The 26511-nt window shown below is 42.5% G+C and overlaps 1 protein-coding gene and 1 pseudogene across 21 annotated transcripts in view, besides 1 other annotated feature; one reads left to right on the top strand and one right to left on the bottom strand.

Moving 5' to 3' along the window:
* KIAA0319 overlaps window positions 1-26511 on the bottom strand; it is a 106051-nt gene that overhangs the window by 35518 nt on the left and 44022 nt on the right. For 10 of the 21 annotated variants that reach the window (XM_017011546.3, XM_047419602.1, XM_047419604.1 and 7 more), the window contains exons 2-10: window positions 25391-25550; window positions 20215-20960; window positions 12935-13127; window positions 7946-8044; window positions 6591-6688; window positions 5268-5355; window positions 4200-4292; window positions 2452-2584; window positions 710-938 (exon numbers count right to left, since the gene is read on the bottom strand). In XM_017011546.3, coding sequence (XP_016867035.1) covers window positions 710-938; window positions 2452-2584; window positions 4200-4292; window positions 5268-5355; window positions 6591-6688; window positions 7946-8044; window positions 12935-13127; window positions 20215-20960; window positions 25391-25445 — 1734 coding nt within the window. In that variant the 5' untranslated portion in view covers window positions 25446-25550. Of the gene's footprint in view, window positions 1-709; window positions 939-2451; window positions 2585-4199; window positions 4293-5267; window positions 5356-6590; window positions 6689-7402; window positions 7570-7945; window positions 8045-12934; window positions 13128-20214; window positions 20961-24960; window positions 25052-25390; window positions 25551-26511 lie in introns of those variants that run through there. The other 11 variants (NM_001350406.2, NM_001350404.2, NM_001168376.2 and 8 more) reach the window with 5 other exon arrangements.
* Window positions 13830-14030: a silencer, noted in NCBI's record as "peak5735 fragment used in MPRA reporter construct". NCBI's record gives its function as "represses an SCP1 promoter by STARR-seq MPRAs in K562 erythroleukemia cells {active_cell/tissue: K562}" and the evidence as "EXISTENCE:reporter gene assay evidence [ECO:0000049][PMID:32103011]".
* On the top strand, window positions 22294-24328 carry KRT8P43 (keratin 8 pseudogene 43; annotated as a pseudogene).

Below are 26511 nucleotides of genomic sequence, written 5' to 3' on the forward strand. Positions count from 1 at the left end.
ATCTTAAATACTAATGAGAAATGTATCTTGGACTGGTGAGGCAAAATTTGAAGGAGAAAAGGAAGATGGAAATGTAAGGTCCTATCTTTTTTTTTTTTCTCATGAAACTCAAATAATAACATAACTTCAAAAACACCAAGCTGGTTAGCAACAAAAACAAATAGCTTTGCCAATCACAAAAAGAAGAATAAGCAAACAGCTCACACACACAACAGAAGTTTCAAGATTATTATGTTGTTAGACAAATATATTTAAAAGATTTGAACAAATCAAAAGGTAGATACAAACAAGGTCCTAAAAAGCGACCAGTGGATGTAGACAAGATAACATGGAGTTTCTATAAACAGGAGAAACAGAATAACAAAAAAAATTCTGATAATCAGGTTTAGATTAGATTATTTCTAAGGTTTCTCCCAATACGAAAATACTTCTCTAACAGATGTGAGACTTTTCCCAAACCGATCTCAAGATCTAATTTTCAGCACAGAGCCAATTGGTTGCTGTCCTGTGCTTATCTAAGTGGGCGAGGGGAAGGGATGTAAACTTGGAAGATTTGTGAGCTTAGGTCCTTTTCTAATAGTTGTAATAGATCAGATAACTTTACAAAATAAATTATCTAAATTTAACTGCCTACCCCAACCAATAGCACATAGCTAGGTAGACAGACAGACAGACAGACAAAAGTCTGAAGGCAGGATGGAGAACTTGCCTGCATGACCACATGTTTGCCCTCACTCCCAGGACCCAGGGACCACTCATAGAGGACAATCTGGTGATCGTCACTGCTCTGGTTTCCATTCAAAGTGATGGAGTTTTGGGGCAAAGTTATGGTGTGATTTGGTCCTGCATTAGCAACTGGTGGGTAGTCCACAGCATTGTTCACTATTAGGGCTGCAGTTGTAGAGTTAGTGGCTCCGTCCGAGTCTGTAACAGTCAACCTACAAAAAGGAGAAGAAGCCGTAGTTGGAAGAATATGCCAGGCTGGGTGCAGTGACTCACGCCTGTAATCCCAACACTGTGGGAAGCTGAGGTGGGAGGATCGCTTGAGCCCAGGAGTTCTGAGACCAGCTGGGCCATAGAAGGAGACTCTGTCTCTATTTAATTAAAAAAAAAAAAATTAGCCGAGTGTGGTCATGCACACCTGTAGTTCTAGCTACTTGGGAGGCTGAGGTGGGAGGATCATTTGAGCCCGGGAGGTCAAGGCTGCAGTGAGCCGATATTGCTCCACTGCGCTGCAGCTCAGGCAGCAGAGCAACAGACTGTCACAAAAAACAACCAAAAAAAAAAGAAAAAAAGTAGACAAAAAAATAATATGCCAAATCTCAAGGTAAACTTAGGTCAATTTAGTCTGCTCATGGAACAGTTCTCGGAACAGGTAAAAATAGAAATTTAAGGATGAAGCAAAGATAAACACAGACTTGATATTTTTGTTTGCTTTTGCTGCTGTTGGCTATTTTTAGTTTTAGTTCATAACATATTGATGTCAGAGTTTCACCTTTATGGATTTCTGATTAGCTTTTGAGATGCTGGGTGAAGAAACCATCCTCACCCAACACAGATGCCACTCTCTTAACGGAGACTAAAAATGGATCAGGTTTAAGTTCTGCCTGCAGGTTGAGCATGCAGAGACAGCAAATCACTCCTGAATTTTCAGCTACAAAGCTTTTTACTTTTTAATCCTTTTCTAGAGGACTTATAATTATGTTTTCAGGATACTCCTTGCAAAGCAGTGTTAGGATTAAGCACTTTCAAATGCGAACCAATGCTCAACCTCTGCAAACAAAAAAGAGAAGTGCGTTAACTTTCCTGCACTAAACTGATTCCTAATGTGGTCCTGAGGACAGTGAATTCACAAATGGGTCACTTCATCCTTCTACGTTAAAGATGGTGGTGGGAGCAGTGATGAGTGCTAAATAATATCAATAGGCATATGACAATGAAGCTGTGGCAAGAATGCAGGCCTTCCTTGCAGGGAAAAGACATGTAGGGGGCACCTGTGCATTCTGAGCTTCCTTCCACACTATCCCTCATACTCCACACAACCAAGATCCAACTTCTACTTCTGGCTCTGACAGCAAACCAAACATCTAAAGTCCTTCCTTCTCAACCAGGCTGAGTCAGGACACTTTTTGGGCCCGTTAGGAAATTTCTTCATGGGTTAGCAGCAGTAAGCTGCTCCAATAAGATGGTAAAGCGTAATTAAATACAAATGAATTAAATGAATCTCATAAAGTACCTTTCACTATATATAAATTTTACTCCAATAAATAAATAAAGTTCCTATTAATTGATGAGGATATCAGAGTCTCCAGCGGCATGCAACCAAAACCCCCATGAAAGCCAAATCTCTTTTGATCAAAATAAGAAGTGCAGTGTTTTATGTGCGTTAATTTAAAGAAACAGTCAAAATGTAAGTAGCAGGCAGCACAATAAAGGCAGGGACCCACTTGCCTGAAACTATAGTTACCAGGATCAAGGTTAGACAAGCGTAAGACGGGAGAGTCAACTGAAGTCTTCTCTTCTATGAAGGGCCCGTTTATTTCTTCCCAATGATAACTCACTATTTCAGTATCATCTGTACTTTCTACAAGATTAAGAAATAAAGACAAGAATGAAATACAAGAAGAGGAAGACATAAGTTTTATACTTTAATTATTGCATATTTAAATTCATTTTTATAAGAAATTATGTACTTGCCTAGATCTCAATGGATATATACTGTATTAGAAGGAGATTCTTTCCTACTCCCGAAATTATATCACTATTTTTCTCCTGGATTTCCACCAGATTTGAATGAGGCTGTTCCCACTCAGTTGAATATTTAAGAAGCACAGTGACAGATGCTTTTGCTTTTAAAAAACAGGAGTCAACAAAATGCAGCACATGGAAATGCTACTTCTGCTCACCTCAGCTACAGCATACTGATCATTTTAAATAGGCACCTGAGCTGACAGGTTCAAAAAGACTTGAGTTGCCTTTCTACAACTTACAAAACATCTTTTACTACCTTAATTATTAAGGGGTAAATCCAGAGAAAGCTCACAGCCTTACATGAAAATCTTCCATTTCTACTTTAAAAGAGAACAAACATAATGTGCCATGCAGATTCATAGAAATTTAGACCTGGAAAGGGGCTAGTTTCATCTAATTCATTTAAGGAAAGAACAAGTTCATGTGACAGATTAATAATCCTGAACAGTTTCCTGTAAATAAGCCATACTGAATTAGAGGAATCAAAATGTGACCTATTTGGTCATGTAAATATTTCCATTTAAAATATGCTTTATTTTCATGGTGCTAAGATGGAAATATGGATTATTTTTGAGTAGATGCAAATGGTCATGTCAATGTGATCTCTGTAAATTTGCAGGCTTGCAAGATAGGGCAGCTTTAATGGCTAACAAGTATTCTTCTTCCAACAACCAAGGCAACCGTTCTTCCTCTAAAGGATTTGGTATTAACTTTGTGATTAAATGTACATAAAATGCAATTACCTGTTACACTGATAAGGTTGAACCTAGTCAACCACAGGATGTTTTCAACCTATTCTTATTTACATGGACACCTGTAGTTAACACAGGGGCCCCTTCCACATATACTCCCATAGAAGAAACGATCTCTGAATGAATTTTAAAAAACCACCACGCTCCCTCACTGAAGACATCCCTTCTAAGAGTTCTTAAAAGTGATTTTCCCATCTGGTGGGGGGCACCTCCCCTCCCAAGTCAGGTCACGGGAGCTCCTCTATATAAAGATATATATATATATATATATCTTATATATCTCATATATATCTTATATATCTCATATATATATCTTATATATCTCATATATCTTATATATCTCATATATATCTTATATATCTTATATATATATACATATATATATACACAAAGTGATTTTCCAACTGCTAACCATATATACCACACCAGAAGGAGATTCTTCAATAATTGCTCTAATTCCCTATCAAATGGCCAGGCGCTAAAGAACTTTCTAATAGAATAGACGAAAGGTGAAGGGAAAATAAGCACAGGATAGAGGAGCTAAAGGAACTAAAGAAGACATAAAACTAAAGAAGGAGGTGATCGTTTATCAAAGTAACAGCCCATAAGTCCTCCTAGCTTTGATGCAGAGCACTCATTACATTTCGTAGCACGTAGAGAAAAAAAGAAATCCCTAAACTATCTCAGGATACACACGGCTGCCATCAATGAGGGCTGACGTCAAAGGCAAAGTGAGCTCTTGCAGTTGGGGAGAAACAACTGCTACAGGTGGCAGGTTGACTCTTCTGGCTGTAACAAAAAAAAGGACAGTGACTGAGCCCATCTTGTGTAGGCATATGTCATTACCCACATAAAATCATCTACTTTAAAAAATTGATTATACATGTCCTGTCAAGAAGGTGTTTATCCTACAGGCCTCAACTATGGAGAGCACTTTTTAAAGTCTGGAGTCTCTCTATGAATTTCAGGAGCTTGTCTGGACATTTACACTTTTGCATGTAAGCCCAGGCTCAGTGAAGATGTACAATAATAACCAAGGGGCTCATCACAGAATGTGAGCAGTAATTACAGAGCAGGAGCAAGGGATGAAGGGATTACAGTTCCAGCTCCTTGGATTGAGTGGATCTTATATCTCTAACTGAAGGCAACTCCCCCCCCCACCCCCCATAACCATATGCAAAAGATAGAGCTGTCAGGCCCTCAGGGTGGGCTGAAGTGGGTACAAGGGAGGTTCACCTTGATTGGGTCGGTTGTGCCCTCAGCACAGGTGAGGGGTTGGTGGAGGCTGAAAGCCAGCCCATGTTCTACTCACCAAGCCAGGGCTGTGCCCACCCAGCCCAAGAACCACCTGTTTCTAATTCACATGAATGCACTGACCGATGGGCATACATTTTCCCCTGACCTCTTGGTTGCTCAGTTGAATGTATTCAACATGCCCCTGCTTCGAAGGTGAAGCTGAATCACGGAGAGTGGAGGTAGAAGTTAGAGTGGATGGTGTAAATGTCAGATAGAGAGGGCTAAGGTAGATTTGCCACCATTCGAGAGCAGCCAGCAATAACCTTGTCAAGCAAGTACAAAGTGTTATGCGAAAGGTAGAAAAAAAAACCAAAAATATAATCTTTGCGTGTTTTCTCTACAATGGAGCCTAATACAAAATAGGTTTTGTCTCTCTAGGTAGATAGGTAGACAGATATAGAGTCATCCAGGCACCAAAAATTGAGATAAATATGTACAACAGGAGGTCATTCTCTTACACCGGCTTACCAGGCTTAACAGTGACATTGACAAATCCTTCTCCAAAGGCGTTTTCACTAGAAACAGTGACTTTGAAGACATAAAGTCCGACGGACAACTGTAACATAAAGAAAAGTTGTACAGTTCAACATGCAAGACGTGATGGGTCCACTACGTAGAAAAAGCTAAAATGTCCCAGAAGCCGCACTCCTAAAGTCAGCATAGAGAAGGGGCTCAGGAGACAGTCTCATTTGGATCTGTCAAGAGGCTGCCGCATGTTTGAAGCCTGAATTCTGGAGCACTAAAGATCACCTAGACAGGCCTTTAGCTTCGCTGCAGAGGGCTTCAAAGAGGCCTGGGTGAGATGGACCAGCAGAGGGCAGCAGTTCTCAAATGTGTGTATGGAACCATGCATTTTTACCACCTAGCTCTGGTGCATTGGTTGCCGGTGGTCTGGATGCCACACTTTGAGAAACACAGCTCCATGACATGAGGGTGATGCAAGTCTGTGTTGTACCATTAGCTGTGTGGTCCCAGGAGATGAAGTCAACATAATCATCTGGTAGGAGACTAGATCTCTAGTCGCTAAGTCGGTTTATATATCCTCCTAGGCCAGAAAGAGGGCATGTTTCTTGTGAGTGCTTGTATCATAGAACAATATGTGATAGGGCAAATTGTGACCTGGAATGGAATTATTGGCAACTCTAGAGATGTGCCGGACTGAGAACCAGAGATAAGTAGAATGTCCTTAACACTGCAAGGAGAGCAAGAGTTACAACAGGTTTTTAACCTCTCTGCAATGCTTGTGGGACAACCAGGCTCTTTTCCCCAAACTGAGATATACTAAGTAACCCAAATAAAGAAACGCCATCCAAAGCCTCTTAACCATCTGCCTGCCTACTTGCATGCCTGAAACTTTATTCATTCATATCCTACTTTTGATCTTACCATGAGAAAGATGTTTGCAGCTGGGCGTGGTGGCTCATGCCTGTAATCCCAACACTTTGGGAGGCCAAGGAGGGCAGATCACTTGAGGTCAGGAATTCAAAACCAGCCTGGCCAACATGGCGAAACCCCACCTCTACAAAAAATACAAAAAAATTAGCCGGGTGTGGTGACGTGCACCTGTAATCCCAGCTACTCAGGAGGCTGAGGCAGGAGAATCACTTGAACCCGGGAGGCAGAGGTTGCAGTGAGCTGTAATTGCGCTACTGCACTCCAGCCTGGGCAACAGAGCAAGACTCTGTCCCCAAAAAGAAGAAAGACGTTTGGGTTCAGTAGCTAAGAAGGTATTAACTGAGCTCTATGCCGTTACGCTGTGCTGTTAGACACAACCAGTCTCCAGTTACTTACTTGAGAGAGGTTAAGAGTTTGCTTGTGTCCTTGTTTTATTTCACCTTGGTAGTCTGTGGGGTGGCTTATTAAATTCCATTCATAGTTGTAGGTTGTTTCTGAGAGCAAAAAATAAATATGAGTAGTTATAAATTCTGAGAGGACACTAGATAACCTGGGCAGAGGGAAGATGACAGCCTTTAAACCACCAGTGCAGATTACCTTAGATATACTCAACTCAGCTTTCTTTTTTTTTTTTAACTTATATATATATTTTTTGTTTATTTGTTTTTATCCCCTCACTCTTGTTATCATCTTATGAACTTGACTTTCAACTATCAGCCAAGATAACATGTATCTTCTTAATGTAACATTTCTTTTTTTGTTATAAAAACATACGTCTTACAGGAAATTTTTAAAATGTATAAAGTTAAAAAAAAAAAAACCTCCCTAACTTAACCATTAGTATGTGATGAGTTTTTTCCTAGGGGGCTACATCTGACTATCCATATCAGTTTTAACATAGTATAATACATTGTGCTTTTCTCTTTTTAACAAAAGGCAAGGAGATTTCAATTCATTTGATCTGTTGTAGGGGTTTATTTAAGGACACAAAAACAGTATAAACATGTCTATGTTAAGATGAAACTGTCTCCCAGCTGCAGATATTAGTAGTTAAAATATAAGGTACCTCACCTCAAAGGATTAAAATGCAAATGCCAAATATTATCATCTCTGTGTATAAAATTTTGACCAATATGTGGTGGAGAAAAAAATGAATTAAGGAACTAACCTGAATGAGAAATAGTCAAACACCTTAAGAATGAGTTTACCTTAAAAACAATGCATTTGACAGGCCACAGGTCCCAGGTCAAATGCTTACTGAATGGTAGAGCACTGGACAAGTAGAAGAAAGAGCATTTTGAATAAATTTTTTTGAGCAGCTAGTGTGAGGCATCCTGAGAACCTGAGAGCCGTGATTGTCAATGCCACAGTATCTGCAAACAAACCTATGGGTGCACGCCACTTCCCTCTCATCCCGGTGGAATCTTCCCAGGTTCTATGGGTTATTACAGTTCAAGAACTGGTACGTGGCAGCCTCTCCTGATCTGCTTTGCATCATCAGAAATTTATGACTTTCCATCCTGACCAATTAAACGATATATACTGTATTTAATTTCCTAGATTCTTACTCCATTTGAAACTATTTCAACAAATGTTGATGCTTAAGAATAATCAAAGCCTTGTCCTCCACCTTTGTTTGTGACGTCGTGCAATACTGTGAAAAAGAATCGGCGTTGTAAATAGCCTGTAAGGACCTGCTGAAGAAAAACACCCCAGTTCCTAGTGGTCAGGGAGGAAGGTTAAACTCTCACCTACAGGTGGCGCTGGCGCAACAAAGGCCTTCAGTTCAACTTCATTGTCGGGTAAAGTTATAATTAGGTTATCTCCAGCCGATACCGTAAGTTCTTTCACTAAAAGTTAATTAGAAATAATACGTGCAATTATATAATATAATGTGTTACATTACTGCTCTACACTAGATCTGTTTTTGGTATCCATAAATTAAAATAACATATGCTTTTGTAATAGTTCTTCATAAGATTTTAGCTAAGGCACGTTTTTCCTCTGGCTAGAAATTGAACTGTACACTATATTATAGTACAGGGTTTTAAACCACAAATATGAGTTGGCACTGTGACAAAAATAATGATTCAAATTGACTGAGCAACGTATTGAGTGACAAGAGTTGCGTGAAACAGGTTTCATGCAACTGTGAATTGGGTCCATTTTCTCCCTTGCTATCAGCTTTTCTTGACGCCCTGGTGTGAGCTATTTTTAGTTATAAAAAGATTGAGTGTAATCCTAAGTGTTTCTGTCTCATTAGTCACACTCCACTCAGTTCTGATAGTAGCCTCATGAATTACTGCTAATGGCCTTGTACTTGGAACCTTTCCAAGACAAAATCCAGTCACCCTCAATATAAAAAACCTATTTTAACTTAAGCAGCAGGAACATTAACTCTTATCAAAAGTGCTTAGCCACCAAGTAAGCATTCAGAACAATACTTGTTTACTTTCTCTGTAACCAGATTACATTGATATATTCATAAATTCTATCGGTTTGGCTCCATTGGACATTAGTTTCACTTGTAAAATATATTGCGATATGTCCAGATACTACACAGAGAAAAGCAAAGATTTAAAAAAAAAAAAAAAAAAAAAAAAGCTGAGTGCTCCAGAGGGATCAGCTGCAAGGAGATGTCAGACAGGTTGTTCATTTAATCCACTCCCCTCCTCTCAGTCCTCAGTCCCTCGAGTGCCTCCTAGATCAGCTGCAGAGGCTCTCAGTGGCTTTGCTGGCTCCTCTCTTGTCATTTTCACTAACTCTTTATCCTGAAAGTCAGCAACTGTAGACCTAGAAGGGACATTGATCCAAACCTATCATGTTATAGGTGGGGAAATTAAATCCTAGAAAAGCAAAGTTGTCCAAGGCTGTATGGTAATTAGCAATAGGTCCACCAATATTTAATTTAAATGTATTCATTTCAACAAACACTTATATACCGGATTAAACTGTGCCAGGCATTGCCCCAAGGGCTTTAAAATGATCAATTCATTTAATCCTCATTACAACTGTATGCAGTAGGTTCTATTAAAACCCAAAGATCCTGGGCCAAACTCCCAGGCCAGTTTCTTTTTCCGTATACTACACAGCTTCTCTCCCACTATTATCTTTCTCTCTATGGAAGCTCAGGCTCAAAGTAAATACAAAAGTTAGAGAGAGTAATCTCCAAAATACATGGCCCACAGAAAAGCTCAGGAAACATGACCCTTACGTCTAGCATATTCTAATAACTTCCTTATTGGAAAATCTAATGGAAGCTTTGCAATCCTCACCACAGCCTCTGCGACACATGGAGCTTTGATACGTCTTCCCTTTTGGAACTACAGGAGACCAGAACATGCCACCCCAAAATATGATTTGTGAAAGGGAAATAAATCTCGGGACCCCCAAATCACTAAGCCAAAGGGAAAAGTCAAGCTGGGAACTGTGTCAGGCAAACCCGCATCTCATTTTATTCCTAAACGAGATACCTACAAAGATTAAAAAAAAAAAAAGCTACATGCCTTCCTTATAATTTGCCCACAAGAAACTCCTTGTGGGCCTCAAGATCTTTGCCCTAAAACAGTTTTGTTGAATTTCACCCTGGCAATGTAAATCAATAGCTTATCTTCACAGGTGCAGGGGGTGGGGGAAAGAGCTCAGCCATCCCTCTGCTCACCTGAGACAAATGCATATCTAATTGTTTCCTCTGCCCTATTGTTTATGAAAAAATACAGATTCACTGAGCCAGACAAGGCATAAGTGACTATTCCTCTACCCCCTCTGGCAAGTAAATTGTGTATTCAGTGAAAGACTGATCAAAGACTCAAAAGAATGCAATATTTGTCTCTTATATACCTATGACCTGAAAGACCCCCTTCCAGTTGTCATGCCTTTCTGGACCAAACCAATGTACATCTCACACATACTGATTGATGTCTTATGTCTCCCTAAAATGTATAAAACCAAGGTGGCCAGGCACAGTGGCTCACACCTGTAATCCCAGTACTTTGGGAGGCTGAGGCAGGTGGATCACTTGAAGTCAGAAGTTCAAGACCAGGCTGGCCAACACGGAGAAACCCTGTCTCTACTAAAAATACAAAAATTAGCCGGGAATGGTCATGGGTGCCTGTAATCCCAGTTACTCAGGAAGCTGAGGCAGGAGAATCTCTTGAACCTCGGAGGCAGAGGTTGCAGTGAGCCAAGGTCACGCCACTGCACTCCAGCCTGGCCACGAAGCAAGACTCCGTCTCAAAACAAACAAAAAAAAACAAGCTGTACCCTGACCACCTTGGATACATGTCATCAGGACCTCCTGAGGCTGTGTCACTGGTGAGTCCTTAACCTTGGCAAAATAAACTTTCTAAATTGATTGAGACCTGTCTCAGATACTTTTGGTTCACAGACTGTAGGAAACTAGAATATGCCATTGCAACTATAACTCTTTTATACAAGGATTATTTTGAGCTGTGTTTTTTGTTTGTTTGTTTGTTTGTTTTGAAGAAACAGCAGACCAAGAGGAGCTCTGAAAACAGAGTAGAAGTTACTCCTTTGTAAGGGGAATTTATATCTATAAAGGAAATCTCCATTTGTAAGGGTCTCTCTCCTTCTATACCAGGAAGAGAAGGGTGACTACATTCCAAGAGATCCACATCCATAGAGAAGGTCCTGACAAATCTGCATAATGAACCTCACTCTTGCTTACTTCGTTTATTCTGGGCACCTTTGGCCACTTGCCTTCCCCACAATCCTCTTTCCTTGTTTTAGTTCAAGATGCTATATAAGCCAGAGTTCCAGGCTTATATAATATAAGCTTATATAATAAACCTCTCTGAGATTTCCTCATTTCCCTGGGCATCTCCCACGTATAGGTAAGATGTACATGTTATAAACTTGTTTTTTTTTTCTCTCTTGTTAATCTATCTTTTGTTACAGGGGCACTAGCCTAGAACTTAGAAGGGTAGATGGAAACTTATTCTATCCTCCTCCATAGAACTCTCTCCCTCTAGCTTTCCTCTTTATCTCCTACCTCTCTGGCACAACTACCCAATCAGTTTTGCAGGCTCCTTCTGCACTTCCAGCTCCTTATAGAACAATGTCCCCAAAGTTCCAGTCCTCAGGCCTCTCCTCAGCTAACCCCCCTCTCTCCCTGGATGATCTCCTATGTCCCCCGTGTCTGCAACTATCACCTCCACACCGATGACTCGTAATCCTTTATCTTCAGCCCAACTGCTCATCTAATTTTAGTTCTGTATTTTCATATGTCTTAGCGTCCTCTTCCTTCACATCCTTACATTCATTCAATCACTTATCAAATCTTTGTGACTCTGCTCCCTTCCTGTCTCCTAAATCTGGTTCCTTCCCTCCATCTCTGCAACCATTCACCATAGCCTTTTCATGGATCTTGTTGCCTCTAGTCAACTCCACACTATTTTCTTTTTTTTCCTTTTTTTTTGGTTTGAGACGGAATCTCACTCTGTCGCCCAGGCTGGACAGAATGCAGTGGCATGATCTCAGCTCACTGCAAGCTTTGCCTCCCGGGTTCATGCCATTCTCCTGCCTCAGCCTCCCAAGTAGCTGGGACTACAGGCGCCCACCACCACGTCTGGCTAATTTTTTGTATTTTTAGTAGAGATGGGGTTTCACTCTGTTAGCCAGGATGGTCTCGATCTCCTGACCTCATGATCCACCCACCTCGGCCTCCCAAAGTGCTGGGATTACAGGCGTGAGCCACCGTGCCTGGTCCCTTTTTATTCATTTTTTACTTTTTTCAAGACAGTCTTGCTCTGTTGCCCAGGCTGGAGTGCAGTGGAGCGATCTCAGCTAACTGCAACCTCTGCCTCCTGGGTTCAAGCAATTCTCCTGCCTCAACCTCCCAAGTAGCTGGGGTTACAGGTGTGTGCCACCACGCCCAGCTAATTTTTTTTGTATTTTTAGTAGAGATGGGGTTTCACCATGTTGGCCAGGCTGGTCTTGAACTCCTGACCTCATGATCTGCTCGCCTGGGCTTCCCAAAGGGCTGGAATTACAGGCGTGAGCCACCGGGCTCATCCCACACTATTTCTTAATACAAATCTGATCATTTTGCTTTCCTGCTTAAAACCATTCAGGGATTCTCTATACCCATCCAGGAAAGTGCAGAATCTTTAGCACAAAATACATGATCTTTCCAGTTCTTGTCCTGCTTACCACTCCAGTTCCAGCCATACTGAATCCCTTACAGTTCTTCCGAAATGTCCCGTGAGCTCTTGTACTTCTGTTTTCTTGCACAGGCAATGAATGAGAGATGATGGATGGGAAGCACTGAGCATATTGCCTGGCACTCTGTAAGTGCTCAGTAAATACAATGATCACGATTGTTATGAAACATGTTGCTCCCTCCACCTGAACAACAGACCAATGCCATTTTTGCTGGCTCACTCTATCCTAGCATCATCTCCTCTGGAAAGGCATCCCTGGACCCTGTTAGTGGATCAGGGTGCCCCTCTGCTCCCACAGCAGCCTCTCACAGCACTTACCATATTGTATCAGAACCACCTCTTTACCTGCCAGTCTCCTCTCCTGGACTATGGAGTCCCTGAGGGAAAAGACAATGTCTTATTCATCTTTTTATTCCCAGTATGCAGCACCGTTTCTGGCACATGATAGATGCTGAAAAATGTGCCTGGAGGGAATGAGTAAACTTTAAAAGTTGTCACCACCAAATTCTACAGCCTGTCTTCAGTACATTTCTTGAAATTGTATTTTTTAAAAGTTACCTGTCCTGGGAGCAGTGGTAGGAGATATGGGTAGCTCAGATGGGGTGGACTCAGAGGGGGCTGCGCTAGTGGGAGGTGTTGGGATGCTGTGCTCTGTACTCCCCGGGGTGACTGTGAGCACTGGGCTTTTCTCCACGGTGACTGAGCTGAGCTCCAGGCTTGCCGGAGGAAGACTATGGGAAGGCATTAGAACCTACGAGATCAATTACAAGGATAAATTGTTATTAAAAAAAAAACAGTCCAACTCTTCAAGCAACTCAATGTTACCAACCTTTTTCATAAATTAGCTTTGGTAATGTTTGAAAAACCATGAATAATATTGCAAAACTCTGGAACTCTAGACCATCTCTCTCAAGTACTCTCTTTGCTGTCTATTAGAAACATAAGGCAACTGTGGGTTGGACAATTAGTATAGGTGAACTCACACAAACACTCAAAGAATGAGAAAGTAATTATAGTAGCCCCTAAACTGACCAGTTCAATGGACTGAATGTTTCTGCCCCACACCTCCTTCCACCCCAAAAAATTCATTTGTTGAAATCCTAACCCTCAATGTGATAGTATTTGGAGGTAGGGCCTTTGGGAAGTAATTAGGTTATGAGGGTAAAGCCTTCATAAATGGGATTCGTGCCCTTATAAGTAGAGGAGAAAGAGCTAGCTAGCTCTCTTTCTTCCTTGTAAGCACACAGCAAAAAGATGACTACCTATAAATCAAGAAACCCTCGCCAAGAACCCAACCCTGCTGGCATCCTAATCTCAGACCTCCAAACTTCAGTTCTGTGAGATATAAATGTCTGTTGTTTAAGCCACCCAGTTCATGGCTGATATGGCTAGGCTTTGTGCCCCCACCCAAATCTCATCTTGAATTATAATCCCCACGTGTCAAGGGAGAGACCAAATGGAGGTAACTGGATCATGGGACGGTTCCCCCCATGCTGTTCTCGTGATAGTGAGTGAGTTCTCACGAGATCTGGTGGTTTTATAAGCATCTGGCATTTCCCCTGCTTGCTCTCTCACCTGCTGCCATGACTGTAAGTTCCCTGAGGCCTCCCCAGCCATGTGGAACTGTGAGTTACTTAAACCTCTTTCCTTTGTAAATTAACCAGTCTTAGGTATGTCTTTATAGCAATGTAAGAATGGACTACTACAATGGTATTTTGTTACAGCAGCACAAGCTAAGACAATCACTAAAGCAACAATTGAAGACAATCAAATAATTCAATAGTAAACAGGCTTCTAGAGTAAGTCATCTTTATTCATTTTATCCATTATGTATAACCGATAAAGTTACAGAGTTAGCCAAGTTAAAGTTCTTAAACTAAACAGTGTGTGCTGGAGGGAAAAGTCTCATAATATGATAATAAAATATCTTTTGCGACTTTTAGTCAGTAACTGTGTGGGGCCAGGTAAGTAAAACTCTTAGACTAAGAATATAGAAGGCCCACAGGGACCATGTGCAGTGAGAAACTCACAGAAAGAAAAGCTATAATTCAAATGTAAATCAGAGAGGGGGCCATTGGTGCTAATTGAAAAGACAACTACTCTTTTCTACAGTTGAGAAAAGTCCATAAGGATATGGCATACATTTTGTGCTTGGAGGTGTGATCCCTTACATCACTACAAATAGTAACTGAGCCCCTACTGGGTTCCAGATATTTACTAGGCAACTGGTGAAACCTGCAACTAAATTTTCAGAACGAAGGCAAAAAAAAAAAAAAACAAGACGAAATAATGAAATTAAGCTGTATTGATCAAACTAAGGGAAACCAATTGACCAACATTTTAAAAATCAGGTAGTGGGTTTACTATATAATTTTAAGATGTTTGATTTAATTGAATTTTCAGGCATCTGGGTTTGTGAAGTGAGTGCTATAGATTAAGCTGTTCATTGAATCTGTGCTCTCTAAGAATAGCACGAAATTCAAAATTACTGCAAACCAGGGCTGCAGAATAGGTGTCCATAACATTTTATACTGGGGCCTCTGCAAATCCCATAGGATGAATTGAATTTTTTTTTAATCAAGTCCTGAAAAATTATTGCCAAGTTGAAATAAAGAATGAAGGTAGACAGTGGTCAGAGAAATTAAGGCACCTTGGGCCAAGGTCACTAAGCCAGAAATGGCTGAAGGGGAAGAAACCTCTCATCCTGCTCTTCTCTAAAACATTCACTTTTCCACCATGCTGCCTCTCCAGGCTGGAATCACATGCCAATTCTTCCCTTCACTATTCAGTAATCCACCCACAACCTCCACCACAGAACTACTCACTAAGTCATCAGGACACAAGGTCCTCTCTGACAAACCCCTCCAAAGAAAAATCAATCCTCTATGGAAGCCACTGAGCACCAGCATCACCCATTTCAGCCTTCAAGTTAACCTGGGCCTCGTCAGCAAAAGTTTCAAATGGCTCTTGTTTCTATGTTCTCTACTCATTTACTTTAAAACAACTTGTTTTAGGTGATTTCTCTAGTCTTGTCCACAGGAAAACACAGTTGCAAAAAATGTCCTTTATCCTCTACAAGTTTGATCTTGATTTATTTTTCCTAGATACCCTGTTCAATGGCACTATTTTATGCATAGTACTGTTATGAACATTCATGTACAAGTTTCTATATGGACATGTTTTCTTTCTCTTGTGTAAATACCCAGAAGTGGAATTCCTGGGTCATATGGTTAAGTCTGCATTTAACATTTTGAGGAAATGCAAGACTGTCTTCCGAAGCAGCTACACTGGGGCCAGGCATAATTGCTCACACCTGTAATCCCAGCATTTTAGGAGGCCAAAGCAGGAGGATTCTTTAAGCCCAGGAGTTTGAGACCAGGCTGGGCAACAGAGTGAGACTCTATCTCTACAAAAATAAAAATAAAAAAAATTAGCTGGGCACTGTGGTCCCAGCTACTCAAGAGGCTGAGGTGAGAGAATCACTGGAGCCCAGGAGTTTAAGGATGCAGTAAGCCATGCTGCACCGTGGCATTTTGACCTGGGTGTGGAACAAGACCCTGTCTCTCAAAAAACGAAAATCAAAAACAAACCAAAGTGGCTGCAACATCTCACATTCCCACCAGCAGTGTATGAGAGTTCCAATTTCTCTGCATCCTTACTAACACTTATTATCTATTTTTAGATTTTATTCTAGCCATCTAGTAGATGTGAAGTGGTATCTCATTGTGGTTTTGACTTGCATTTCCCTAAAGATTAATGGTGCTGAGCATCTTTTCATGTGCTTCTTGGCTATTCTTCTATGATCTTTGGAGAAAGTCTATTCAGATCCTTTGCCCATGTTTGAGTTGGGTTATTTGTCTTTTAATTATTAAGTTGTAAGAGTTATTTATATATTCAGTATACAATATTTATGGTATATTTATCCCATTTTATGGTATATTTATTCCATCAAGAAAGCTTTACTCTTTTGATGTTGTCATCTGAAATACAAAAGTTTCTACTTTTTATTAATTCAAATTTACCATTTTTCTATTTTATTGCTATGCTTTTGATGTACTAAGAAATAATTGCCTAAGTTTACAAAGATTTATGCTGAGTTTTCTTCCATGTCTCTTATAGTTTTAACTCATATATTGAGAACGTTGGTCCATTTTGAGTTAATTTTTTTAAAATAAGGTATGAGATAGGGGTCTAAATTCATTCTTTTGCATGTAAATATCCAGTTGTCCTAACACCATTTGTTGAAAATACTATTCTTTCCCCATTAAATTTTCTAGATACCTTTACCAAATACAATTGAACTATTTTACATATTTTTTTGGTGAGAGAAAAGATCTTAGTTTCTGTCATCAATTCCAAACTTTGCACTGCATCAGAATGAAATAGTTTCTTTTCTTTCTTTCTTTTTGTTTTAAGAGATGGGGTCTCACTCTGTTGCCCAGGCTGGTCTCTCACCCGTAGCCTCAAGCAGTTCTCCTACCTCCATCTCCCAAGTAGCTGGGATTACAGTTGTGCATCAGTGTATTGGGCTTGAGCAAATGACTTCTTATTATGCTATGCATGTAATTTTTGTGAACACTTATTCAGAGATTGTCTACAAATCTAATGTACTTCAGAGGAAAATTTGCATTTCAATGGAAAGCAGCATGTTATCGGTGGGGCAAGGTGGCTCACATATGTAATCCTAGCATTTTGGGAGGCCAAGGCAGGCAGATCACTTGAGCTCAGGAGTTTGAGACCAACCTGGGCAACATAGCGAAATCCCATCTCTACCAAAAACATAAAAATTAGCCGGGTGTGGTGGCACATGCCTGTAGTCCCAGCTACCTTGTGGGGCTGAGTTGGGAGGACTGCCTGAGCCCAGGAGGTCAAGGCTGCAGTGAGCTGAGATCACGCTGCTCCACTCCAGCCTCGGTGACAAAGTGAGACCCTGTCTCAAAAAATTAAAATAAGATAAAAATAAATAAAAAAAAACATTATCTACTGGATACCTCTCCAGGTTATCTGCCTCTAGTCATTCTTGTATTTGAGCTATTTTTACAACTCTGTAAGTTATAGGTCATAAAAATGATAAAAATGTAAAATAATTCTTGTCTATAGACATGTAAATTCTCCTGTCTGCTAGAGCTTCAACTGAACTCCCTCCTTTCCTCACTGGAAACCCAGTTTTGCCTCTGTTTGCACACTCATTTCAATATATTTTTTAACCTATGAATGTGCCTGTTCTTCAGGTTTTCTTGTAGGATAATTATAATCTAGTTCCTTCAGTGAGTAATGAGTAGAATAAAATCTCTAACACGTGTTCATTTTATATCTAAACAATTCACAATTTCACCTATTTGAATAATTATCTTTTTTTTTTTTTTTTTTTTTTTTGAGATAGAGTCTCGCCCTGTCACCCAGGCTGGAGTGCAGTGGTGCGATCTCGGCTCATTGCAAGCTGCACCTCCCGGGTTCACGCCATTCTCCTGCCTCAGCCTCCCGAGTAGCTGGGAAGCTGGGACTACAGGCACATACCGCCACGCCTGGCTAATTTTTTGTATTTTTTAGTAGAGATGGGGTTTCACCATGTTAGCCAGGATGGTCTCAATTTCCTGACCTCGTGATCCACCCACCTCGGCCTCCCAAAGTGCTGGGATTACAGGCATGAGACACTGCTCCCGGCCCTGAATAATTATCTTTTAACAAAACCAACCTCAAAGAACTAATGAGCCAAAAGATTTTTAATAGAGCTTGATTTCAGAGAGTTCCATCTGTATAAACCAGGAAGTAAATGACTTGGCAACATGAAAGAGAGTAAATTATTTTAATATTTACTGATATGAATAAAGAACATGGTTAATCTCTAATACTTTCAGATTATTTTTAATTGAAAGTTTTTTCAGGCCAGGTGCAGTGGCTCATGCCTGTAATCCCAGCACTTTGGGAGGCCGAGGCAGGTGGATCATGAGGTCAGGAATTCAAAACCAGTCTGACCAATATGGTGAAACCCCATCTCTACTAAAAATACAAAAATTAGCTGGGCGTGGTGGCAGATGCCTGTAATCTCAGCTACTCAGGAGTCTGAGGCAGGAGAATCACTTGAACCTGGGCAGCGGAGGTTGCAGTAAGCCAAGACCATGCCACTGCACTCCAGCCTGGGTGACAGAGTGAGACTCTGTCTCAAAAAAAAAAAAAAAAAAAAAAAAAAAAAAAAAAAAAAAAAAAAAGAAAGTTTTTTCATTTTAATCCAATTATAAGTAAGGAAAAATATAGACACTTCAAAATTCAGAAAAATATAAGCAGAAAAAAACCTTCTGATTCAATCTTGGCTGGGCACGGTGGCTCATGCCTGTAATCCCAACACTTTGGGAGGCCGAGGTGGGGGTATCATTTGAGGTCAGGAGTTCGAAGCCAGCCTGGCCAACATAGTGAAAACCCATCTCTACTAAAAAATACAAAAATTAGCCGGGCATGGTGGTGCACACCTATAGTCCCAGCTACTTGGAAGGCTGAGGCAGGAGAATCGCTTGAACCCAGGAGGCAGAGGTTGCAGTAAGCCGAGATCATGCCACTGTACTCCAGCCTGGGCGACAGAGCAAGACTCTGTCTCACAAAAAAAAAACAACAAAAAAAAAAAACACTTAAAAATGACTTCTAGACATTTTTAAACAATTTTTCATGGTTGAGATTATAATGTATAGTCAATTCAATTCAGCATTCCTCACTTATTCTAACATAAGTACTGGAATCTAAAGAAGGAAAACTTTTCCTTTAAAAAATTCTTGAAGTACTCCAAGCTTTTTTTTTACTTTATTTCCACCTATACTCAGCTTCCTCTGATCAACATGCTCACCACATTCTCAAGTCCTGACCAGTTTCCAAACAAGCAACCTCTGAGCTCTCCAACTACTCTCTCCTCACCACACAGTTCTCATTGTCTGTCTCCCTGACCTCCTGCCATTAACACTTAGGCTTTCCACCTGCTTTTGAAATCGCTCCACTGCAGTGACCCTCATTCTTTTTTCACCTGAGCTTTTTCATGGAACGTTTTATGACGCTTAAGTTCTCTCCTTCATAGCTCTCTCATCCTATCCAATTGTTCATGATGCCATGTTGAGTTTCTAGCAGCCAAAGCACCTGTTGGGTCTTGAAGAAACCTACTAGGGTGGATTTTCAAAGCCCCTGGGTGTATGTGCTGGCCCCAGGGACTTCTATACCATCTCCCGTTGCCTTAAATGTCGCTAGAGTATCCAGGCGCGGTGGCTCACGCCTGTAATCCCAGCACTTTGGGAGGCCAAGGTGGGTGGATCATGAGGTCAGGAGATCTAGACCATCCTGGCTAACATGGTGAAACCCCATCTCTACTAAAAATACAAAAAAATTAGCTGGGCATGGTGATGGGCGCCTATAGTCCCAGCTACTCGGGAGGCTGAGGCAGGAGAATGGCGTGAACCCAGGAGGTGGAGCTTGCAGTGAGCTGAGATCATGCCACTGCACTCCAGCCTGGGCGACAGAGCGAGATTCAATCTCAAAAAAAAAAAAAAAAAAAAAAAACGCTACAGGCATTTCTAGGGAGAAGTGCTAAGTCGTTATGAGCTGGCTGACTCGTGAAGGCAGAACTATTCTTTTTAACAGCCTGGCCATGGAGGCATAGCAAAGGAATGAGATGTTCTGCTTCCTAGAAATCTCTGAGAGACAGTCATCTTTCTTGCCACCACCTGAGACAGGTGCCCTTAGGCGGAACCTCCTTAAGCTCATACAGCCTGAATGAGTGCCCGGCTCCTGAAACTCAGCCCCTCCTACGGTCTGCCCCACTCAGCCCATCCCACCCCCAAGCACATCCTGAACACACTCACCTCTTTTCCAGAGCTGTTGCTGGATTGTTCCTGGAGCTGAGAAGCCTTTTCTTTCTCCAACACCTCTCCTGAAGATGGAGTAGTCGGCAAGGGAAGCAACACACTTCTCTCAGGGAGTTTTGGGGCAGGGGTTGAAGCCGACTCATTCAGGTAATGGAGCTCAGGGTCCTGCTGCGTCTCCGCTGGCACCGCAGGACTGTCTCCAACAGAGGAGTTGAAGGCCCCCTCGCTGCCCGGCAGTAGGCCCCAGTCCGTGTACTCGGCACTCCCTCTGGGCTCCTGCTTGCCACTGGGTTGCAAGAGGTCCTTCTCCAGCTCCCGGTAGTCATCTGAGTACTCAGACATCTCCTCTAGGCCCCAATCTTTGCCTAGAAAGGTCAAGTCCTTTCTGATATCCTCAGGTGAGTCCCCCCAGATCCCCGAGGGGGAGCCCCTGTTCAGCATCATGTCCCCATAGTCCAGCAGCTGTGCAGGCCTCTGAACAGGCCGGAGCACAAAAGTGAGATAAGACCTGATGGGGCCCATCTTCTTGGGCTCACAGTTCTCTTTGTGGGGGCAGCTCACCAGGTAGCAGCGGCCCTCGAACCACCAGGCCAGGTCACAGCTGGACAGGTCACAGCAAGCGGCCGTGCAGTCTACGACAGGGAAGGTGTGAGACACCCGCATGATTCTGGTGGTTTCCAAGTTAGGTGAAATGACTGCATTGGAATATGTCCTCCCCTCGCTGCACTGCTTACGGGCACAACCTTTAAACAAAGTAGTTTCTAATGAGGGAGAGAGGCATATCACAGGGAAGCACCTCCAGCTTAAGAAACCAGGAAAAGGGAGTCTTCTCAATCCCTGGCCAGTCTGGCAAGCAAATAAACAATCAGCATTTCACACAGAAAGATCACAGCAATCCATCAAACCATCCAGCCATATATTCATCCTCCTACCTTCCCACCCACTCATTCATCTTCCATCTACTCATCCTTTCATTCATCCACCCGTCTTTCCTCCTATCTTTCCACCTTTCTACCCATCCATCTATCCATCCTTTCACCCACATACTCATCCATCTACCCTTCTACTTTTCCATCCATCCATCCATCCATCCATCCACCCTCCCATCCATCCATCCATCTTTCTATTCTTCTACCTTTCCACTCATCCATCCATCACTCCATCCCTCCACCCATCCACCCACTCATCCATCCAGAGATTCTTACACCTATCCATGCACCCTTCCTTCCATTTGTTATTTTTTCATATAGTTTCACTCCATTTACTTAACAGGAACATTCTTCTACATTGTATTTATACTATTTATAATACTTTGTTCCTCACATAAAATTCAATTATACAGGTTTACTTTACAAAATAGCATCATGTCTCTGTTTTATCGTTAATTGATTTTAAGTCTCACAGGCTATTTTAATGGTGGATAAATTGACAGGGAAGCAAACTGTCACAAGGAGGCAAGGAGACCTTTGTAAGGCAGAAGCCTCCAACTCAAAGCTTAGGGCAGTTTTCAGTGTGGCTGGAGGTGGTGGATTCCTTGGGACACCTCTGGAGTGCACCGTTCCTTTGTTCTGCAAAAAATCACCTGAATGGGGGCTGTTTAGATATACATACCTTAAAAGCAAAGATCTTAATGCTAAATAAAGAAGTTTGAGAAGGTGGGGCTCCCAACAACTAAATCATTCTTCATTTGGTCCAAGTTGCCATAATTACTTCAGAATCTATTAGAGACACTCTAGAAAGCTCTTCTATCAAACTGGAGACCAGGGAACCTGTCGCCTATGTTTGTATGCTCTATGAATCCTAGCCCAATCTGTGGGAATACTAGTTACTTGATGATTCTTGACAAGTTAATAAAATCACTGGTTAGCCTTTACAAAGGTAAAAAAGATAAAGAAGGCTGAGTGTGATGGTTCACACCTGTAATCCCAGCACTTTGGGAGGCCAACATGGGAGGATTGCTTAAGCCCAGGAGGTTGAGGCTGTAGTGAGCCATGATGGCACCACTGCACTCCAGCCTGGGTGACAGAGCAAGACCCTATCTCAAAAAAAAAAAAAAAAAAAAAAAAAAAAAAAAACCACCTAGAAGCATCTGCACCGTCTTGAATCTCCACCTGGTTCAGCCCTCCTGCCTCCACCATATCCATCAAGGTGACCCATAAGTCCTACAAGGTGTCTACCTCTGGCCCCTGGGCCTTCAGCAGCCACTCCTACACAAGCTGGCCTGGTGCCAGCATCAGCTCCTTGAGCTTCTCTCGAGTGGGCAGCAGCAGCAGCTTCCAAGGTGGCCTGGGCACCAGTATGGGTCTGGGTGGAGGCTATGGCGGGACCAGTGGTATGGAGGGCATCACAGCCATCACAGTCAACTAGAGCCTGCTGAGCCCCCTTAAGCTGGAGGTGGACCCCAACATCCAGGCCATGTGCACCCAGGAGAAGGAGCAGATCAAGACCATCAACAACAAGTTTACCTCCTTTATCAACAAGGTATGGTTCCTGGAGCAGCAGAACAAGGTGCTGGAGACCAACTGGAGCCTCCTGCAGCAGCAGAAGACAGTTTGGATGAATGTGGACTGCATGTTCAAGAGCTACATCAACCTATGGCAGCAGCTGGACATGCTGGGCCAGGAAAAGCTGAAGCTGGAGGCCGAGTTTGGCAACACACCAGGGCTGGTGGAGGACTTCAAGAACAAGTACAAGGACAAGATCAATAATTTTACAGAAGGGTGGGTGCGGTGGCTCACATCTGTAATCCCAACACTTTGGGAGGCCGAGGTGGGTGGATCACCTGAGGATAGGAGTTCAAGACCAGCCTGACCAACATGGTGAAACCCTGTCTCTACTAAAAATACAAAAATTAACTGAGCATAGTGGTGGGTGCCTGTAATTCCAGCTACTCGGGAGGCTGAGGCAGGAGAATTCCTTGAACCCAGGAGGCAGAGGTTGCAGTGAGCCGAGATCATGCCCCTGCACTCCAGCCTGGGTGACAGAGTGAGAAGACTGCATTTAAAAAAAAAATAAAAAGTAAAAAAATAATTTTAGCGATGGAGAATGAATTTGTCCTCATCAAGAGGGATGTGGATGAAGCTTACATGAACAAGGTAAAGCTGGAGGAGTCTCGCCTGGAAGGGCTGAATAACGAGATCAACTTCCTCAGGCAGCTGTATGAAGAGGAGATCCAGGAGCTGCAGTCCCAGATCTGGGACACATCTGTGGTGCTGTCCATGGACAACAGCTGGTCCCTGGACATGGACAGCATCATTGCTGAGGTCAAGGCCCAGTACAAGGAGATCACCAACTGTAGCCAGGCCGGGGCTGACAGCCTGTACCAGGTCAAGTATGAGGAGCTGCAGGCACTGGCTGGGAAGCACAGGGATGACCTGTGTTATACAAAGATGGAGATCTCTGAGATGAATCAGAACATCAGCCGGCTCCAGACTGAGACTGAGGGCCTCAAAGGCTAGAGGGCTTCCCTAGAGGCCACCATTGTGGATGCGGAGAAGCGTGGGGAGCTGGCCATTAAGGATGCCAATGCCAAGCTGTCCAAGCTGGAGGCCACCCTGCAGTGGGCCATGCAGGACATGGCATGGCAGCTGCATGAGTACCAGGAGCTGATGATCATCAAGCCAACCCTGGACATCGAGATTGTCACCTACAGGAAGGTGCTGGAGGGCGAGGAGAGCTGGCTGGAGTCTGGGATGCAGAACATGAATATCCATACAAAGACCACCAGTGGCTACTCAGGTGAGCTGAGCTCAGCCTATGGGGGCCTCAGCTACAGCCTGGGCTCCAGCTTTGGCTCTGGCGGGTGCTCCAGCTCCTTCAGCAGCACCAACTCCTTCAGGGCCATGGTTGTGAAGAAGATCGAGATTTGTGATAGGAAACTGGTGTCTGAGTCCTCTGATGTTCTGCCCAAGTGAATGGCCACAGCAGCCCCTCCCAGCCTACCCCCTCCTGTGACTGCCCCAGAGCCTGTGGGGGAGGCCACTGTGCAGGGGAGCATAGGGAACAGGAGACCCACCTGAGGCTCAGCGCTCGCCCTCAGCCGACCCGCGGGAGAGTTCACTGCCTGGGGTATCCCCCTTTGCCCATGCCTCCAGCTACAAAACAATTCAATTGGTTTTTTTCCAAAATAAACCCTCAGCTAGTTCTGCCAACTGCCCAAAAAAAAAAAAAGGAAGATGAGCAAATTGCAAATAACATTTATTGGGATGCAATAACTCAGGAATTGATATTTTGAATTAAGGGAGAATACCTCATAAGAAAAGGGCAAAAAGGAATGAAAAAGTAGAGATTTGCAAAGGAAAAAATATGGGTCTCTAAACATTAATGACATCATCTAAAACATTAATGAAGGTATTTTCTAGAGTATATTAAAGATGAAATAAGGGGACATTTTTTCTTACACACTAAGCAGGAATGAGTTTAATAAGATGGATGGATGGAGGGGAGTAAGTGATCTACAAGTCATGATGGGCTTTTCCAATGGCAATACTTTCTGGAGTGGCCCTCACATCATATAAAATGGTGCTGCCCAAAATTTGGGTGCTTCTGAATCATCTCCAGGTGCTGCTGAAAACCCAGATCCCAGAGCCACATCCCTAGGAGGTCTGGAGTGTGGCATGAGAAACTGCATTTTAACAAGGGTCTCGCTAAGGTTATCTTCATTATGGCTGTGTTACATTTGGACAAACTGTACATAACAGTTTTTCTAGTCATATCACCACCCTCAATCCTTGGTATACTCACATGGGCTCGGCCAGCCCAGTCTAGTCATGGGTCTTCTTAAATGATGCTCACCAGTGATTTTTTTGCCATGAGTGCATCCACCATAAGCAAACTGAGTATAATGAAAATAAAGATTTCTGATAAAAGGAAGTCTGGCCTTTCCAGCCAGATCTAGTATGCAATTCTTTTCAATATATAAACATAAAGTTTTCCTAGTATATATGAAATGTGATTTTATTTTCCCATGGAATAGTCATGATAAAAATAAACTTAAATTCCTGTTTACGGAAAACCACTCATGCATGAGGTCTGCCTTTCATGCTTTCACCTGTAAAATAATTCTATTGAAAAGCAAACCAACAGCGTCTTCACCTCAGGTTGATCTGAGTTGCTTACACTAGTCAAGAAACTCAAGTCCAACACGGGTATCTCCAGGGTAGTAGTTCCCTACCTGCAATTGTCACCAGCAGCAGCAATGAAGAGAGCACACCTGTGGGGGGCGCCATTGTGCACCACACAGTGGGTGATGGCAGGCTTCTGAGGCGGCCCTGAAGAGAGTTTGGTGCAAGCTTCCTTTGATGTTTTTTAGGAGCCAGATTTGGCCTCAAGAACTTCAAAGGAAAAACATAAAAGAGGAAGGAAGAAAAGAATAGGTAAATGTAGAAACATCCAAAATTATTTCTATCATTCATTCATGTCAGTGGGAAGCCTGTCCTGGTCACATCACAGAGCCACAACCCAGGCAAACATCCACCTAGAGCGTTTGTTCAAATAGCCAGTATAGTTCCTAAGAAGAGCCAAAGAATTTCATGCTTACTCTCCTTACAAGCTGTGGAAATAAACGAGGACCAGTCAAATGAGAAAAGCAAAGGCTATTTATTCAGAGCTTGTTATAGAAAGGCAGTCAGCCACCATCACTTGTTTTTGGCAGAGACTCAAAGACAGGCAGAGGAGTGGGAAAACTTTATAGCAGAAAAAGAGAAAGCCTCAGGTGTGCTCTAATTGGAGGCTGTTGCAGTGGGAAGCTGCAGGCAGCTCGCTAGAAGTGGGGCATCCTACGTGACTGGTTAGGAGGCATGTTTGGCTTTCTCTGACTGGTCCAAAGTTGGAAGAAGGGATAAAAATTAAGGAAGCCATTAGTTATTAATCAAGTCCTGGTCATTCGAGGCTGATTGTTACAGAAGTTACTGTTTAGCTTCCAGGATTGTTTATAGAGATAGCAATCTGGCTTCCTACAAGTCTGACTTATAGCAGGCTGGCTTCCTAGGCTGCTTATTGTAGACAAGGGACTGGTTTCCCGGGCTGTGGATTGTCGGTCAAAGTTCTATTTTATATTTCATCTGGCCATTGTCTGCTTTTATATCCAGGCTCTCAAAGCTAAAACTATGAAATAATGATGGAATAAATCACACTACTGTATTTCTTTTTTTTTTTTTTTGAGACAGAGTCTTGCACTGTCATCCAGGTTGCAGTGCAGTGGCACAATGTTGGCTCACTGCAAACTCCGCCTCCTGGGTTCAAGTGATTCTTGTGCCTCAGCCTCCAAGTAGGTGGGATTACAGGCGCACACTA

Source organism: Homo sapiens, chromosome 6 (assembly GCF_000001405.40).
Source record: "Homo sapiens chromosome 6, GRCh38.p14 Primary Assembly".
Taxonomy (NCBI): Eukaryota; Metazoa; Chordata; class Mammalia; order Primates; family Hominidae; genus Homo; species Homo sapiens.